Raw genomic sequence first — 18460 nt, forward strand, 5'->3', positions numbered from 1 at the left:
AGGGCATTCATTTTCCTAATTTTCAATGGTCACAAGCATCTTCGGACAGGGACCAAATTTTATTTAGTAATAGAACTTAGCACAGTGCCTGGCATAGGTAGATACTTATTAAATGTGTTGTATTAATAAAGAAAATTAATATTTAAATAACTATTTGGTGACTATTGTCTATAGTTCTACACACGGTTATATACAATACAATGTCTAAGTAAGGCGTATATAGACATATACCCAACATGGCCATTTGCAGTATAGAAACAGGGTATTTTGTAAAAATGGAATAATTTGTAATTCCTTTGATTAATCTAGTCTTTTTCTTAATGGTTAAGGAATTCATAAGGAATGATGAGTTCAAGTAAATACACATCAGATGGAAATTATATTATAATGTACTCACACACAGCCACAATTTCATTTAGCTACATAATGATTTTTACCTTTAAGGACATTTTTCTCATTCATTTTCATTAATACAATTCTGGCTTATAAATAGACCATTGGTTTTGAAAATTTCACAATATGAAATGTAAACCAGCCCTGAACTTGGTAGTCAGGAAAAGCATCAACAATGAAGAAGAAATTGGTTTTTAAAAAAATATTTTATACATCCACCTGAAGGCGCTCATGTGGCAAAACATATTCAACCCCAAAACATATTCAACATATCTAAATGTATATAATCAGAACTGTAAATAGCCTAGGCTATGTGAAAGTACTTTTCACTTCTAAATGAGGACAATTTTGCCCATAAAGTAATTATATCAAAGTCATCTTTTTAAATCAATGATTTAATAACCTTTACCATCATTTTATGCATATATTAGAAGTGTGTAACATTCTCTGGACTTGGGTTTCAATGTGTAACAGATTTTCCTAGACTCATTGAATCAAAAAGCTATTCCAAACATATTAGAATAAGATGAATCTATTGCCAAATATGAAACTATACTTGGAACCAATGTTTCAAATAAAAACTAGGATATTCATTTATGCCTTTACTGACAGACCAAAACTTGAGACAAAAACCAAATTTCTATCAAGAGAAAACCATTCCCACTGTAAACAAATGTAAATTTGAGTTGAGTTTTAAGGTATATCATTCTTCTTGAGATTATTTCAGAGGGATTATTACACATTATCCTGCTTACAAGAACACAAACTGTTTTAGACTCATGCTTGGCATAACATTACATGCTGTAGAAATATAATGCAACGTTTTCATAGAATCCAACTTATTTTTCAAGTTTAAGAGTTAACCTAAAGAATGCACATTTTAAACTCAAGCTCCATAAACTTATAGCTTTTTGTTTGACCAAAAATATGTCAAACGTTTGGGCAAATAGATATAACATGGTAAAAGTAGTTTGAAACTTGAAATATTCTTTCTTTTTTCCTTTCCTCATCTATCCCTTGCTGTATTCAAAAATGGCTAGTTTCTCAGTCTTTTTCATGTTTTCCGTAAAATATAAGAGTAGTAAAATATGGTATACCCATTGGACCATTTGGAAACAATTGAATGGTACATAAATACAAGTTCAAATCAGAGATGTTTTCCCTTCCAAGTTAAGGATGTTGGTCCTGAAAAATAAATTCAGAAAACAAATAGGCACAAAAAGCTCATGGAAAACATGTGCATATTAGAACTTTAACATTTAAATTACAGTGTACATAGTTTTTAATACAGAATTTTAGGCATCTTTGAATCCTGTGCATCATAAATAATGAGTCTTTTTTGCTTTAGCTCATGGGTAAAATATATTAAATACTGACTAATTACAAATCTAATATTTGTTTTGGCATTCTTTTCAATGTTTCAAAACAAAATTATCAGGTTGTTTTAAAATTATGTTTTATTTTTATATTATGAAAATTAAGGCATGAAAATTATACACATCTTTCACATGAGGATTTTTCATTTTCTTCTTGTACCTTTAAAAGTTAACTTAAAACACTTGCCTCAGACTTTTGCCCTTGTAGCAGTATAAACTGGATAATCACTTATGTAGAAAAGATTAATGAATAATTTTTAGCAAGTTTAAGTTTTGGTTCCATGCTTCTTAAAAAAAAATCTTTAATTCCTGCCTCACTTTTCTAACAGGAAATATTAGTAACTGATGAATAAGTAGGTGATAATACTAATGAAAACGTTGGACAAATGTACTGATTATAATTTTATATTGCATTCCTTCATGTAAGTTGGTTACATTTATTGAAAATTAAAAATACACTAGCTATCATGGCAGAATTGAAAATGTAGAAATGTTATGATGTTCTATAACGATCATTATGAATGACTTCCAGGTACTCTATCACCTGAAAAGTCTAAGAATCACAGACTTAACATCTATTATGGCTGTGTCTCAACAGGCAAATAAAATCCTAGGCCACTAACAACTGATCATTCCAATATTCTTCTGGTATGTCAATGTGGTATCACAGGCAGCAAGAGATAAAGTTTCAGTCTTGGCTTTCCAGCTCCAGTGCACACAAATAGAATAAAATCTATTTCATATGACTAGTCCATATAGATTATTTCTCATTATGTTCAATAAATATTAACTTTACCAAAACCATAATTATTTGCCCTTCTCATTGCTAATGCCTTAGAGGTACATTAATATTGAGTAAGACTGCATAGTTGCTGAATGATTTACTAACTTTCTCATTTCATTTTAAGCCGCAGAACAATGATCTTTGCACTTTGTACTTAATTTTCATTTCTTGTAAACAATAACCAAATAACAATAAGACTAACATTATGAAATTTATTTTATTTTCTACACTTCGTCTAACTTTTATTGCTATTATAGCCCAGTTTGATTTAAAGGATAATAACAAAAGAGCACTAAACCAGAGAGTCAGGAGAACTTCATTTGATTTCTCGATCTTTCCTTAAGTAAAGTGCATGATTAGGGCAAGTCTGAGTGTCAATTTTCTCAAAAGCAAAGTAGGAAAAATAGTATTTGTTTCAAAACATTGTCATCAACATTAAGGTGAAATGATGTAAATGGGGATTGTAAATTATAAAGTACTATTCCAATGTATGTTATTACTATGATTCTCAGAATCCTTAAGTTCCTTTATACCATTGCAGTTCTTAAAATGTAGACTCATCCTTGGGCAAAAAAACAAGCTGTGTATTTCTGAACAGAAGTTGCAATAGGTAATTCTGCTAAGGAAATTATCAGGTTGAGACATTGTTTGGATACTCCTTTTCTGTATTGGCAATTCTCTTTTTAAAATGAAAGGATTTATTAAAAATATTTAAGATTTGTACTAAAATTAATTTGTTATATGCCCTCATTAAGATGCTTAAAGTCCAAAATTTAAAAATATGGCATTTTATACATTTTAGCCATGCTTTTTTCTTTCAACAAATGCCATTAAAACAATTTTTATATTGAAATTATTTATAAAACTGTCAGCTATTTTGTACAGGTTTAGTTGGCCACTAGCAATAATCAATTTGAATTCTAGCTATTAAACCTAATATCAACCATAAATGGACTAAATGTCACTCAAAGTTTGAATCTTATGCACTTGGTATCAACCCAAATGCTGCTCAGTTTAACTTGTTTCATTTCCAGAATATTGCCCATGTTTGTTAAGAACTTCAGACACACCACATATACATAGTAAATCTGGTATTCATCATGAATTCACCTAGAAAATCCTGTTTTACAAGTGCATTAGGCCTTCACTAGGAATTAGTATAAGTCATAATGACTGACCTTACATAATGCATTTGTTTATTTTCTTCTGAAAAGTCAGATCATATACTTCCTTAATGCTAAAATCTTATAAAACATGTCTTGCTGCCTTTTTTTCTCTGTGCTTAGCTTAACATACTTCATGCAGTATAACAGAATGTCTTTGAGCCTTTATCTAATAATTAACTTTTAAAATATGTCAAAACAAATTAAGATGTCTCATCTTCATTTTTAATTGTTTTCAGCACTGAGTCTTCTCCCAAAATTTTACATAGTTCATTGAGTCTCTGCTGCATTTTGGGAATTCCAGCTAGCTGAGATTCTAGCTTTTGTTTTTCTTCACTCAATGTCAAACGGATAGCAGTATCCAATTGTTCAAAGCGCCAACCTCCTTCACCATCAAACTGTAATAAATGTGTGTGGTATTTCCTGCATAATTAAAATGAAATAATATTATTAGCCATAATGTTGAAAAATCATTTTAGTTGTAGGTTTATCATTCAAATTGATACCCAAAGGCAAATTTTAAGTAGGTGCTATTTTACATTTGAGTTTTAAGGACATATCAAAAAGTTAAATACTGTGATTTTTTTAAAACCCAAAAGTCATTAATCTGATCTTTAGGAAAATATTATTATTTTTTTCATATTCTGGATGTATATTAACTGTAAAGGAAGACATGCTGTTGCATGTATTTAATTTCTTCATAACTCAATTTGGCTCCTGAATAAATAGTAAGGCATTCTTAGGATGGGAGTAAGGAAAGGAAGCTGAGGAAAGAAAATCAACATTAAAAGGTCATAGAAAAACTAAGGAAAATAAAGGAAATACAATAGCAACTCATTAATACACCATCCTTTGGGAATGAGTTCTTCTGCATAAGTAAAATTTTCTCAATAATAAATATAGTTTAAAAACATTTTAAAAAACAACTCTTTGATAGAAGAAATGTTTTAAAGATACTTCCACATTTTTATATGATTTAATCTCTTTCTTATGGCTCAGTTTCATAATTAGGAACTTCACAGAGGTACAGAGATTATTTTACTGATGAGATAGGAGATGATCCACCTTGTCCTAAAGGAGGCTGAGGTCACCATTCTGTCGGCTTTGTGGGGGATATTTGGTGAAAGAAAAGTTGGCAGAGCTGGTCCTGCATGGCTGAACCACCTGCATTTTTTCACTGCTGAACTGGCCTATATTCTTATGTGTCCTCAATTTTTCTGCCTTCCCTTATAGTTTTTCTCACTTCTTGCTTCCTTTTAAGATCTGGTCTGTCATTGTTAACTATGATCGGTGGGCTTTTTTCAAGCAGTTTCCTCCTGCTTTTTAAAAAATTGAGAGATAATTCACATACCATAAGTTCATCCTTTAAAGCGTAAAATTCGATGATTCTTAGCATACTCACAAGCTCATGCAACCATCACCAGTAATTTCAGAACATTCTCTTCAACCCCAAAAGAAACCCAATACCCATCAGCAGTCTTTCTCCATTTCCCTTTCCACCCAGCCCCTGACAACCACTAATCTCCCCTCTCTCTATAGATTTCTCTATTATAGACATTTCATATACATGGAATTATAGAATATGTGGCCTTTTGTGACTGACTTCTTTTACTTATACAAATGATTTCAACGCACAAAGGGTGGAGGAAGATGGTGGAATAGGACTCTACAGTGATCATCCGCTTGCAGGAAAACATCAAAATTACCTACACACAAAAATACCTCTACCTCTACAGAAGCTAAGGAAACCAGGCAAGAGTTCACAGTATCTGGTTACAGAATATTAATAAGAAAATAGTCATTGGAGTGGGTAGGAAGTGCAGTTTTACATTCTCCAAGTCACCCATGTCCCAACCACAAAGTGCACAGCTCAGAGAGAAATACCATCTACTTGGGGAAAAGAGAGGGATGTAAGCATAAGAGTTTGCATTGGAACACACTACCAGGCCTGCCACAGTAAAACCCAGCACTAGACAGACTCCTACAGACCCTCACTTCTGCTGGTACCTGCAGACTGAGCCTCTGAACCTGCCTCAGTGCCAGACAGAAACCTGTTGTCCCTGTCAGACAAACTCAATTTCTGGTCTGCATCACCACGAACCAACAAACTATAGAAGCCATGGGCTCCAAATAGCCCACAGTGGCAGGCAGGACTCAGTGGCTGGGGGCTCAGATTTCAGCTCAGCACTGTGCCAGCCTTGGTGGTCAAGGGATTCCACCCTGACACTGCACCATCCACCATCGTCCTGGGCTTAGAGTGCTCTTGGTGTTGCAATAGCTGCAGCAATCACTATCTTAGAAACCACAACAGGTGACCTGCCTAGAATTTCTGGATAGGCTTACTGTCAAAGAACTTTTCTCAGACAAAGCTAGACTATGCAAACTGGAATAAATTTCTAGGTCTTTAATGTGTAGACATCAATTCATGACCAGAAGGATCAAGAACAATCAGGGAAATGGGACTCACCAAATGGACAGAATAAAGTGCCAGTGACTGACTCTAAAAAGATGGAGATGTTTGACCTGCCTGACAAAAAAATTAAAATAGTTGTTTTTAAAGTAAGCTTAATGAATAATATGGTTTTTCTGCATCCCCACCCAAAATCTCATTTTGAATTGTAATCCCCATAAGCCCCATGTGTCAAGGAAGAGACAAGGCGTAGGCAGTTGGATCATGGGGGTGGTTTTCCCCATGCTGTTCTCATAATAATGAGTGAGTTTTCATGAGATCTGGTGGTTTTATAAGTGTTTGGTAGTTCCTCCTGTGTTCGTTCTCTTTCTTGCTGCCTTGTGAAGAAGGTGCCTTTCTTCCCGTTTGCCTTCCACCATGATTGTAAGTTTCCTGAGGCCTCCCCAGCCATGCTGAACTGTGAGTCAATTAAACCCTTTTTCCTTTATAAATTACCCGGTCTAGGGCAGTTCTTTATAGCGATATGAAAACAGACTAATACAGTAAATTGGTACTGGTAGATGGGGTGCTGCTATAAAGATACCCAGGCCTAACATGGTGGCTCATGCCTGTAATCCCAGCACTTTGGGAGTCTGAGGCAGGTGGATCATGAGGTCAGGAGTTCAAGACCAGCCTGGCCAAGATGGTGAAACCCCATCTCCACAAAAATACAAAAATTAGCTGGGCGTGAAGGCGGGTGCCTGTAATCCCAGCTACTCAGGAGGCTGAGGCAGGGAATTGCTTGAACCCAGGAGGCAGATGTTGCAGTGAGCCAAGATCACACCACTGCACTCCAACCTGGGTGACAGAGTGAGACTCTGTCTCAAAAAAAAAAAAAAAGATTCCCAAAAATGTGGAAGTGACTTTGGAACTGGGTAACAGGCAGAGATTGAAACAATTTTGAGGGCTCAGAAGATGGGAAGATGTGGGAAAGTTTGGAATTTCCTAGGGACTTATTGAATTGCTTTGACCAAAATGCTGATAGTAATATGAGCAGTGAAGGCCAGGCTGAAGTAGTCTCAGATGAAGATGAGAATCTTCTTGGGAACTAGAGCAAAGCTGACTCTTGCTATGTTTTAGCAGAGACTGGTGGCATTTTGCCCCTGCCCTAGAGGTCTATGGAACTTTGAACTTGAGAGAGATGATTTAGGCAGAAGAAATTTCTAAGCAGCAAAGCATTTAAGATGTAATCTGGGTGCTCTTAAAAGTGTTCAGTTTTATGCTTCACAAAGAGATGATTTGGAATTGGAACTTATGTTTGAAAGGAAAGCAGAGCATAAAAGTTTAGAAAATTTACAGCCTGGCGATGCAATGGAAAAGAAAAACCCCTTTTCTTGGGAGAAATTCAAGCCAGCTGCAGAAATTTGCATAAGTAATGAGGAACCAAATGTTAATCACCAAGACAATGGGGAAAATGTCTCCAAGGCATGTAAGTGGTCTTCATGGCAGCCCTGGAGGCATAGGAGGTAAAAATGGTTTCCTGGGCCAGGTCCAGGAACTTGCTGCTTTGTGCAGTCTCAGGACTTGGTGCCCTATGTCCCAGCTGTGGCTAAAATGGGCCAAGGTACAGCTCAGGCCATTCCTTCTGAGGGTACAAGCCCCAGTCCTTGGTGGTTGGACCTGTGGTGCACAGAAGTCAAGAAATGAGGTTTGGAAAGCTCTGCCTAGATTTCAGAGGATGTATGGAAACACCTGGATGTCCAGGCAGAAGTTTGCTGCAGGGTCAGAGCCCTTATGGAGAACCATTGCTAGGGTAGTGCAGAAGGAAAATGTGAGGTCAGAGCCCCCACTGGGGCATTGCCTAGTGGAGCTGTGAGAAGAGGGCCACCATCCCCCAGACCACAGAATGGTAGATCCACTAACAGCTTGCACCATGCACCTGGAAAAGCAGCAGACACTCAATGCCAGCCCATGAAAGCAGCCATACCCTGCAAAGCTACAGGGGTGAGCAGCCCAAGGCTATGGGAGCCCAACTCTTGCATCAGCAGCACCTGGATGTGAGATATGGAGTTAAAGATTATTTCAGAGCTTTAAGATTTGACTGATCCACTGGATTTAGGATTTGCACAGGGCCTATAGCCCCTTCTTTTTGGCCAATTTGGAATGGGTGTATTTGCCCATTTCATGTACCCCCATTATATCTAGGAAGTAACTAACTTTGGACTTGGACTCTTGGGTTAATGCTGGAATGAGTTAAGACATTGAGGGGCTGTTGGAAGGGCATGATTATGTTTTGAAAGTGAGGACATAAGATTTGGGAGGGGCCAGGGCGAAATGATACAGTTTGGCTGTTTCCTTACCCAAAATCTTATCTTGAATTGTATTCCCCAAAATCTCCACGTGTCAAGGGAAAGACCAGGTGGAGGCAATTGGATCATGATGGGGTTTCCCCCATGTTGTTCTCATGATAGTGATTGAATTCTCTTGAGATCTGATGGTATTATAAGTGTTTTGTAGTTCCTCCTGAGTTCATTCTCCTTCCTGCCACCTTGTGAATAAGGTGCTTTGCTTCCCCCTCACCTTCTGCCACGATCATAAGTTTTCTGAGGCCTCCCCAGCCATCCTGAACTGTGAGTCAATTAAGCCTCTTTTCTTTATAAATTATCCAGTCTCAGGCAGTTCTTTATAGCAGTATGAAAATGAACTAATACAGCGCACTTCAATAAAATACAGAGAAACAATTCAGAAATCTATTAGAGAAATGCAACAGATATGAAATAATGGGAAAAAAGCCAGAAATGCTGGAGCTGAAAAATACAATGAAAAAAATTAAAAATGCAATGGAGACATCAATAGCAGAATTTATCAAACAGAAGAAAAAAATATGTGAACTTGAAAACAGGTTACTTGCAAACTTATGATATGAAGAAAGAATGAAAAGGAATGAAGAAAGCTTATGGGACTTATGGAATAGCATCAAAAGAGCAAATGTCGCCTGGACATGGTGGCTCATGCCTGTAATCCCATCACTTCGGGAGGCTGAGGTGGGTGGATAATGTGAGGTCAGGAGTTCAAGACCAGCCTGACCAACCTGGTGAAACCCTGTCTCTACTAAAAATACAAAATTAGCCCAGCGTGGTGGTGTGTGCCTGTACTCTCAGCTATTTGGGATGCTGAGGCAGGGCAGGAGAATTGCTTGAATCCAGGAAGCGGAGGTTGCAGTGAGCTAAGATCACACCATTGCACTCCAGCCTGGGTGACAAGAGTGAGACTCCAGCTCCAAAAAAAAAAAAAAAAAAAAAAAGGAAATATATGAGTTGTTGGTATTCAAGAAGGAGTTAAGAAAGATAAAGATTTATAAAGCTTATTTAAATAAATCATAGCAGAAACATTTCAAAATCTGGAGACATATAACTATCTAGGTACAGGAAGGTCAAAAGTCTTCAATCATACTCAATCCAAATAAGACTACCCGATGATATATTACAATCAAACTGCCAAAAACCAAAGACAAAGAGAGAAACCTGAAAGCAAGAAAAAAAAATAACACATAAGGGAGTTCTAATATGACTGTTACCAGCTTTTTCAGCAGAAACCTCACAGGCCAGGAGAGAATGGAATTACATATTCAACGTGCTGAAGGGAAAAAACCTTTCAGCCAAGAATTCTGTTCTTAGCAAAATTGTCCTTTGGAAATGAAAGAGATAGACTTTCCCACACAAACTAAGCTGAGGGGCTTTATCACCACCAGATATGTCTTATAAGGAGTACTAAAGGGAGTTCTTCACATTGAAAGAAATGATGCTAATGGGTAATAAGAAAACATTAGAAAGTATAAAACTCACTGGTAAAAGCAAGTAAACAGTCAAATTCAGAATACTCAAATAATATAAAGGGGTTATGTAAATCACTTATTTCTTTTTTTTATTATACTTTAAGTTCTAGGGTACATGTGCACAATGTGCAGGTTTGTTACATACGTATACGTGTGCCATGTTGGTGTGCTGCACCCATTAACTCATCATTTACATTAGGTATATCTCCTAATGCTATCTCTCCCTGCTGCCCCCACCCCACAACAGGCCCCGGTGTGTGATGTTCCCCTTCCTGTGTCCAAGTGTTCTCATTGTTCACTTCCCACCTATGAGTGAGAACATGTGGTGTTTGGTTTTTTGTCCTTGTGATAGTTTGCTGAGAATGATGGTTTCCAGCTTCATCCATGTCCCTACAAAGGACATGAACTCATCCTTTTTTATGGCTGCATAGTATTCCATGGTGTATATGTGCCACATTTTCTTAATCCAGTCTATCATTGATGGACATTTGGGTTGGTTCCAAGTCTTTGCTATTGGTAAATCACTTATTTCTTTAGTATGAAGACAAAAAGACAAAACTATTAAAAATTATAACCATTAAAATAATTTGTTAAAGTATATACAATATAAAAAGATGTAAATTGTGACACTAAAAATTCAAAATGGGGAGATGAAGGGTAAAGGTTGTGTTTTTTTGCAATTTGTATATACTTTAACAACTAAAATAATCTGTTAACATATATACAATATAAAAAGATGTAAATTGTGATATTAAAAATTCAAAATGGGGAGATAAAGGGTAAAGATTGTGCCTTTTTTGCAATTAAATTAAAGTTGTTATGAACTTAAAATAACATGTTATAAGATGTTTTTATAAGCCTCATGGTAACCATGAAGCAAAAACATATAATAGGTACAAAAATAACATGTTTAACTATAAGATGTTTTTGGTAAGCCTCATGGTAACTACAGAGCAAAAATCTGTAGTAGACGCACTAAAAATAAAAAGCAAGGAATCAAAGCATATTACTAAAGAAAATCACTTACCCACAAAGAAAGACTGTGAGAAGAAAAAAGGAAGAAAATATCTACAAAACAACTAGAAAGCAATTAACAAAATGACAGGAGTAATTCCTTACCTATTAATAATTACCTTGAATATTAATGGATTAAGTTCTCCAATTAAAACACATAGTTTCTGGGCCAGGTGCAGTGGCTCACGTCTGTAATCTCAGTGCTTTTGGAGGCTGAGGTGGGCAGATCACTTGAGGTCAGGAGTTTGAGACCAGCCTGGCCAACATGGTGAAACCCCGTCTCTACTAAAAAAAAAAATAGCTGGGTTTTGTGGTGGACCCCTGTAATCCTAGCTACTAAGGAGGCTGAGGCAGGAGAATCACTTGAACCTGGAAGCAGAGGTTGCAGTGAGCTGAGATCACACCACTGCACTCCAGCCTGGGCTTCAAAGCAAGACTCTGTCTCAAAAAAAAAAAAAAAAAAGACAGTGTCTGGATTAAAAAGCAAGACCCAACTGTGCGCTGCTTACAGGAGACTCACTTCATCTGCAAGGACAATATAGACTAAAAGTGAAGGAATGCAAAAGATATTTTATCCAAATGAAAACTAAAAGGCATCAGGAGTAGCTATACTAATGTCAGGTAAAATAGACTTTAAGTGAAAGCTATAAAAGAGGCCAAGAATGTTATTATATAATAATAAACAGGTCAATTCAGCAAGAAGATATGATAATTCTGAATATATTTGAACCCAACATCAGAGCACATATATAAATCAAATACTCCTAGATCTGAAAGAAGTGAACTACAATACGAGTAGGAGACTTCAACACCCTACTTTCAGCAATTAGATCATCCAGACAGAAAATCAAGAAAGAAACACCAGATTTAAGCTATATTCTAAACCAAATGGATCTAACAAACATTTATAGAAAATTTCATCAAAAAGCTTCAGAATATACATTCTTCTCAACTACACATGGAACATTCTCCAGGATAGATCACATGTAATGCCATAAAACAAGTCTTCAAAAATTTAAGAAGATTGAAATTATATCAAGTGTCTTTTCTCTCTTGAATGATATAAACCTAGAAATCAATAAACAGGAAGAACTTTGGAAACTTACAAATACATAGAAATTAAACAACATGATATTGGTTAACCAATGGGTCAATAAAGAAATTAAAAGAAAAATTTTAAAAATTTTCTTCTGAAAACAAAAATGGAAACACAACATACCAAATCTGTAGAATACAGCAAAAGCAATTTAAACAGGAAAATTTATAGCAACAAATACCTGCATCAAAATAGATTAAAAATGTCAAATAAACAACCTAATATTGTAGGTCAAGGAACTGGAAAACAAGAACAAATCCAAACCAAAACTAGTAAAAGAAAGGAAATAATATACATCAGAGTGGAAACAAATAAAATAGAGCCTGGAAAAACAACATAAAATATCAGCAAAAATGAATAATTGATTTTTTCAAAGATAACCAAATTTGACAAATGTTTATCTAGAATAAGAAAAAAGAAAGAAGATTCAAATAAATAAATTCAGAGATTAAAAAAGAGAAATTATAATTAATACTACAGAAATACAAAGAATGATGAGACTGTTGTAAACAATTATAAACCAACAAATTGATTAACCTAGAAGAAACGAATAAATTTTGAACACATACAACCTACAAAGATTGAACTATGAAGAAACAGAAAATGTCAACAGACAAATAACAAATAAGGAAATGGAATCACATCAAGAAAGTCCCAGAATCTGATGGCTTAACTACCAAATTCTACCAAATATTTAAAGAACTAATATTAGTTCTCAAACTATTCCAAAAATTGAAGAGGAAGGAATACATCCAAACTTATTCTACAAGGCCAGCATTACCCTGATACTGAAACCAAACAAAAAGACAACAACAAGAAAAAGAAAACTACAGGCCAATATCCCTGATGAACATAGGTGCAAAAATCATCAACAAAATACCAGCAAACTGAATTCAACAGCACTTTAAAAAGGTCATTCACCATGATCACGTGGAATTCATCCTGGAGATGCAAGAAAGGTTGAACATATGCAAAGCAATAAATGTGGTACATAACATTAACAAAATGAAGGACAAAAAATATGATTATCTTAATTGACACAGAACAAGCATTTGATAAAATTGAACATCCTTTTATGCTAAAAACACTCAACAAACTAAGCATAGGAGGAACATAGCTCAACAAAATAAAGACCATATGTGACAAGCCCACAGCTAACATCTATACTGAAAAGGGAAAAGTTTAAAACTTTCCCTCTGCAACCAGGCATGGTGGCTCATGCCTGTAAATCTTAGTACTTCGGGAGGCCAAGGTGGGAGGATCACTTGATCCTAGGGGTTTTTTGGTTGCAGTGAGATATGATCACACCTCTGCAGTCCAGCCTGGGTGACAGAGTGAGACCCTGACTCTAAACAAACAAACAAACAAAAATAACATGTTTTCTGTAAGATACGGAACAAGGTAAGAATAAGAACGCTCACTTTTGCCACTTACATTCAGTGTACTACTGAAAGTCCTACCCAGAGCAATTAGGCAAGAAAAAGAAATAAAAGGCATCTGAATTTGAAAGGAAAAAGATAAATAAAGGAAAAAGTTAAATAAAGGAAAAAGATAAATTGTTCCTGGCTGCAGATAACATGTTCTTTTTTCTTTTTAATTATACTTTAAGTTTTAGGGTACATGTCCACAACATGCAGGTTAGTTACATATGTATACATGTGCCATGTTGGTGTGCTGCACCCATTAACTCATCATTTAACATTAGTTATATCTCCTAATGCTATCCCTCCACCCTCCCCTCACCTCACAACAGGCCCCTGTGTGTGATATTCCCCTTCCTGTGTCTATGTATTCTCATTGTTCAATTCACACCTATGAGTGAGAACATGTGGTGTTTGGTTTTTTTGTCCTTGCGATAGTTTGCTGAGAATGATGGTTTCCAGCTTCATCCATGTCCTTACAAAAGACATGTACTCATCATTTTTTATGGCTGCATAGTATTCCATGGTGTATATGTGCCACATTTTCTTAATTCAGTCTATCATTGTTGGACATTTGGCTTGATTACAAGTCTTTGCTATTGTGTAGAGTGCCACAATAAACATATGTGTGCATGTGTCTTTATAGCAGCATGATTTATAATCCTTTGTGTATATACCCAGTAATGGGATGGCTGGGTCAAATGGTAGTTCTAGTTCTAGATCCCTGAGGAATCGCCACACTGACTCCCACAATGGTTAAACTAGTTTACAGTCCCACCAACAGTGTAAAAGTGTTCCTATTTCTCCACATCCTCTCCAGCACCTGTTGTTTCCTGACTTTTTAATAATCGCCATTCTAACTGGTGTGAGATGGTATCTCACTGTGGTTTTTGATTTGCATTGCTCTGATGGCCAATGATGATGAGCATTTCTTCATGTGTCTTTTGGCTGCATAAATGTCTTCTTTTGAGAAGTGTCTGTTCATATCCTTTGCCCACTTTTTGATGGGGTTGTTTGTTTTTTTCTTGTAAATTTGTTGGAGTTCATTGTAGATTCTGGATATTAGCCATTTGTCAGATGAGTAGATTGCAAAAATTTTCTCCCATTCTGTAGGTTGCCTGTTCACTCTAATGGTAGTTTCTTTTGCTGTGCAGAAACTCTTTAGTTTAATTAGATCCCATTTGTCAATTTTGGCTTTTGTTGCCATTGCTTTTGGTGTTTTAGACATGAAGTCCTTGCCCATGCCTATGTCCTGAATGGTATTGCCTAGGTTTTCTTCTAGGGTTTTTATGGTTTTAGGTCTAACATTTAAGTCTTGAATCCATCTTGAATTAATTTTTGTATAAGGTGTAAGGAAGGGATCCAGTTTCAGCTTTCTACTTATGGCTAGCCAGTTTTCCCAGCACCATTTATTAAATAGGGAATCCTTTCCCCATTGCTTGTTTTTGTCAGGTTTGTCAAAGATCAGATGGTTGTAGATATGCGGCATTATTTCTGAGGGCTCTGTTCTGTTCCATTGGCTATATCTCTGTTTTGGTACTAGTACCATGCTGTTTTGTTTACTGTAGCCTTGTAGTATAGTTTGAAGTCGGGTAGCGTGATGCCTCCAGCTTTGTTCTTTTAGCTTAGGATCGACTTGGCAATATGGGCTCTTTTTTGGTTCCATATGAACTTTAAAGTAGTTTTTTCCAATTCTGTGAAGAAAGTCATTGGTAGCTTGATGGGGATGGCATTGAATCTATAAATTACTTTGGGCAGTATGGCCATTTTCACGATATTGATTCTTCCTACCCATGAGCATGGAATGTTCTTCCATTTGTTTGTATCCTCTTTTATTTCATTGAGCAGTGGTTTGTAGTTCACCTTGAAGAGGTCCTTCACATCCCTTGTAAGTTGGATTCCTAGGTATTTTGTTCTCTTGGAAGCAATTGTGAATGGGAGTTCACTCATGATTTGGCTCTCTGTTTGTCTGTTATTGGTGTATAAGAATGCTTGTGATTTTTGCATATCGATTTTGTATCCTGAGACTTTGCTGAAGTTGCTTATCAGCTTAAGGGGATTTTGGGCTGAGACAATGGGGTTTTCTAGGTATTCAATCATTTCATCTGCAAACAGGGACAACTTGACTTCCTCTTTTCCTAATATAATCCCCTTTATTTCCTTTCCTGCCTGATTGCCCTGGCCAGAACTTCTAACACTATGTTGAATAAGAGTGGTGAGAGAGGGCATCCCTGTCTTGTGCCAGTTTTCAAAGGGAATGCTCCCAGTTTTTGCTCATTCAGTATGATATTGGCTGTGGGTTTGTCATAGATAGCTCTAATTATTTTGATATGCATCCCATCAATACCTAATTTATTGAGAGTTTTTAGCATGAAGGGTTGTTGAATTTTGTTAGAGGCCTTTTCTGCATCTATTGAGATAATCTTATGGTTTTTGTCATTGGTTCTGTTTACATGCTGGATTACATTTATTGATTTGCATATGTTGAACCAGCCTTGCATCCCAGGGATGAAGCCCACTTGATCATGGTGGATAAGCTTTTTGATGTGCTGCTGGATTTAGTTTGCCAGTGTTTTATTGAGGATTTTTGCATCAATGTTCATCTGGGATATTGGTCTAAAATTCTCTTTTTTTGTTGTGTCTCTGCCCGGCTTTGGTATCAGGATGATGCTGGCCTCATAAAATGAGTTAGGGAGGATTCGCTCTTTTTCTATTTATTGGAATAGTTTCAGAAAGAATGGTACCAGTTCCTCCTTGTACCTCTGGTAGAATTCGGCTGTGAATCCGTCTGGTCCTGGAGTTTTTTTGGTTGGTAAGCTATTAATTATTGCCTCAATTTCAGAGCCTGTTATTGGTTTATTCAGAGATTGAAATTCTTCCTGGTTTAGTCTTGGGAGGTTGTTTGTGTCGAGGAATTTATCCATTTCTTCTAGATTTTCTAGTTTGTTTGCATAGAAGTGTTTATAGTGTTTGCTGATGGTAGTTTGTATTTCTGTGGGATCAGTGGTGATATTCCCTTTATCATTTTTTATTGCATCTATTTGATTCTTCTCTCTTTTCTTCTCTATTAGTCTTGCTAGCGGTCTATCGATTTTGTTGATCTTTTCAAAAAACCAGCTCCTGGATTCATTGATTTTTTTGAAAGGTTTTTTGTGTCTCTATTTCCTTCAGTTCTGCTCTGATCTTAGTTATTTCTTGCCTTCTGCTAGCTTTTGAATGTGTTTGCTCTTGCTCCTCTATTTCTTTTAATTGTGATGTTAGGGTGTCAATTTTAGATCTTTCCTGCTTTCTGTTGTGGGCATTTAGTGCTATAAATTTCCCTCTACACACTGCTTTGAATGTGTCCCAGAAATTCTGGTACGTTGTGTCTTTGTTCTCATTGGTTTCAAAGAATATCTTTATTTCTGCCTTCATTTTGTTATGTACCCAGTAGTCACTCAGGAGCAGGTTGTTCAGTTTCCATGTAGTTTAGCGGTTTTGAGTGAGTTTCTTAATCCTGAGTTCTAATTTGATTGCACTGTGGTCTGAGAGACAGTTTGTTATAATTTCTGTTCTTTTACGTTTGATGAGGAGTGCTTTACTTCCAACTATGTGGTCAATTTTGGAATAGGTGTGGTGTGGTGCTTAGAAGAATGTATATTGTGTTGATTTGGTGTGGAGAGTTCTGTAGATGTCTATTAGGTCTGCTTGGTGCAGAGCTGAGTTCAATTCCTGGATATGCTTGTTAACTTTCTGTCTCATTGATCTGTCTAATGTCGACAGTGGGGTGTTAAACTCTCCCAATATTATTGTGCAGGAGTCTAAGTCTCTTTCTAGGTCTCTGAGGACTTGCTTTATGCATCTGGGTGCTTCTGTATTGGGTGCATATATATTTAGGATAGTTAGCTCTTCTTGTTGAATTGATCCCTTTACCATTATGTAATGGCCTTCTTTGTCTCTTTTGATCTTTGTTGGTTTAAAGTCTCTTTTATTAGAGACTAGGATTGCAACCCCTGCATTTTTTGTTTTCCATTTGCTTGGTAGATCTTCCTCTATCCCTTTATTTTGAGCCTATGTGTGTCTCTGAACATGAGATGGGTCTGGGGAATACAGCACACTGATGAGTCTTGACTCTTTATCCAATTTGCCAATTTGTGTCTTTTAATTGGAGCATTTAGCCCATTTACATTTAAGGTTAATATTGTGTGAATTTGATCCTGTCATTATGATGTTAGCTGATTATTTTGCTCATTAGTTGATGCAATTTCTTCCTAGTCTGCATGGTCTTTACAATTAGGCATCCTTTTGCAGTGGCTGGTACCGGTTGTTCCTTTCCATGTTTAGTGCTTCCTTCAGGAGCTCTTTTAGGGCAGGCCTAGTGGTGACAAAATCTCTCAGCATTTGCTTGTCTGTAAAGGATTTGATTTCTCCTTCACTTATGAAGCTTAGTTTGGCTGGATATGAAATTCTGGGTTGAAAATTCTTTTCTTTAAGAATGTTGAATATTGGCCCCCACTCTCTTCTGGCTTGTAGAGTTTCTGCTGATAGATCAGCTGTTAGTCTGATGGGCTTCCCTTTGTGGGTAACCCCACCTTTCTCTCTGGCTGCCCTTAACATTTTTTCCTTCATTTCAACTTTGGTGAATCTGACAATTATGTGTCTTGGAGTTGCTCTTCTTGAGGAGTATCTTTGTGGCATTCTCTGTATTTCGTGAATTTGAATGTTGGCCTGCCTTGCTAGATTGGGGAAGTTCTCCTGGATAATATCCTGCAGAGTGTTTTCCAACTTGATTCCATTCTCCCCGTCACTTTCAGGTACACCAATCAGATGTAGATTTGGTCTTTTCACATAGTCCCATATTTCTTGGAGGCTTTGTTCATTTCTGTTTATTCCTTTTTCTCTAAACTTCTCTTCTCACTTCATTTCATTCATTTGATCTTCCATCACTGATACCCTTTCTTCCAGTTGATTGAATCGGCTACTGAGGCTTGTGCATTCACCATGTTCATT

At 36.4% G+C, this 18460-nt stretch overlaps 1 protein-coding gene across 7 annotated transcripts in view; it reads right to left on the reverse strand.

Moving 5' to 3' along the window:
* Positions 1–18460, reverse strand: part of ABCD2 (ATP binding cassette subfamily D member 2) — an 88779-nt gene that overhangs the window by 18968 nt on the left and 51351 nt on the right. For 6 of the 7 annotated variants that reach the window (NR_182046.1, NR_182045.1, NM_001412791.1 and 3 more), the window contains one exon: positions 41–4139. The exons of the other annotated variant lie outside the window; for it this stretch is intronic. Coding sequence is in view for 4 of the 6 variants with exons in the window: in NM_001412791.1 (NP_001399720.1) it covers positions 3920–4139 (220 nt within the window). In the remaining 2 variants the exon portion in view is untranslated. Of the gene's footprint in view, positions 1–40; positions 4140–18460 lie in introns of those variants that run through there. 7 annotated transcript variants of the gene reach the window in all.

The sequence above is a fragment of the Homo sapiens genome, chromosome 12 (assembly GCF_000001405.40).
Source record: "Homo sapiens chromosome 12, GRCh38.p14 Primary Assembly".
Lineage (NCBI taxonomy): Eukaryota > Metazoa > Chordata > Mammalia > Primates > Hominidae > Homo > Homo sapiens.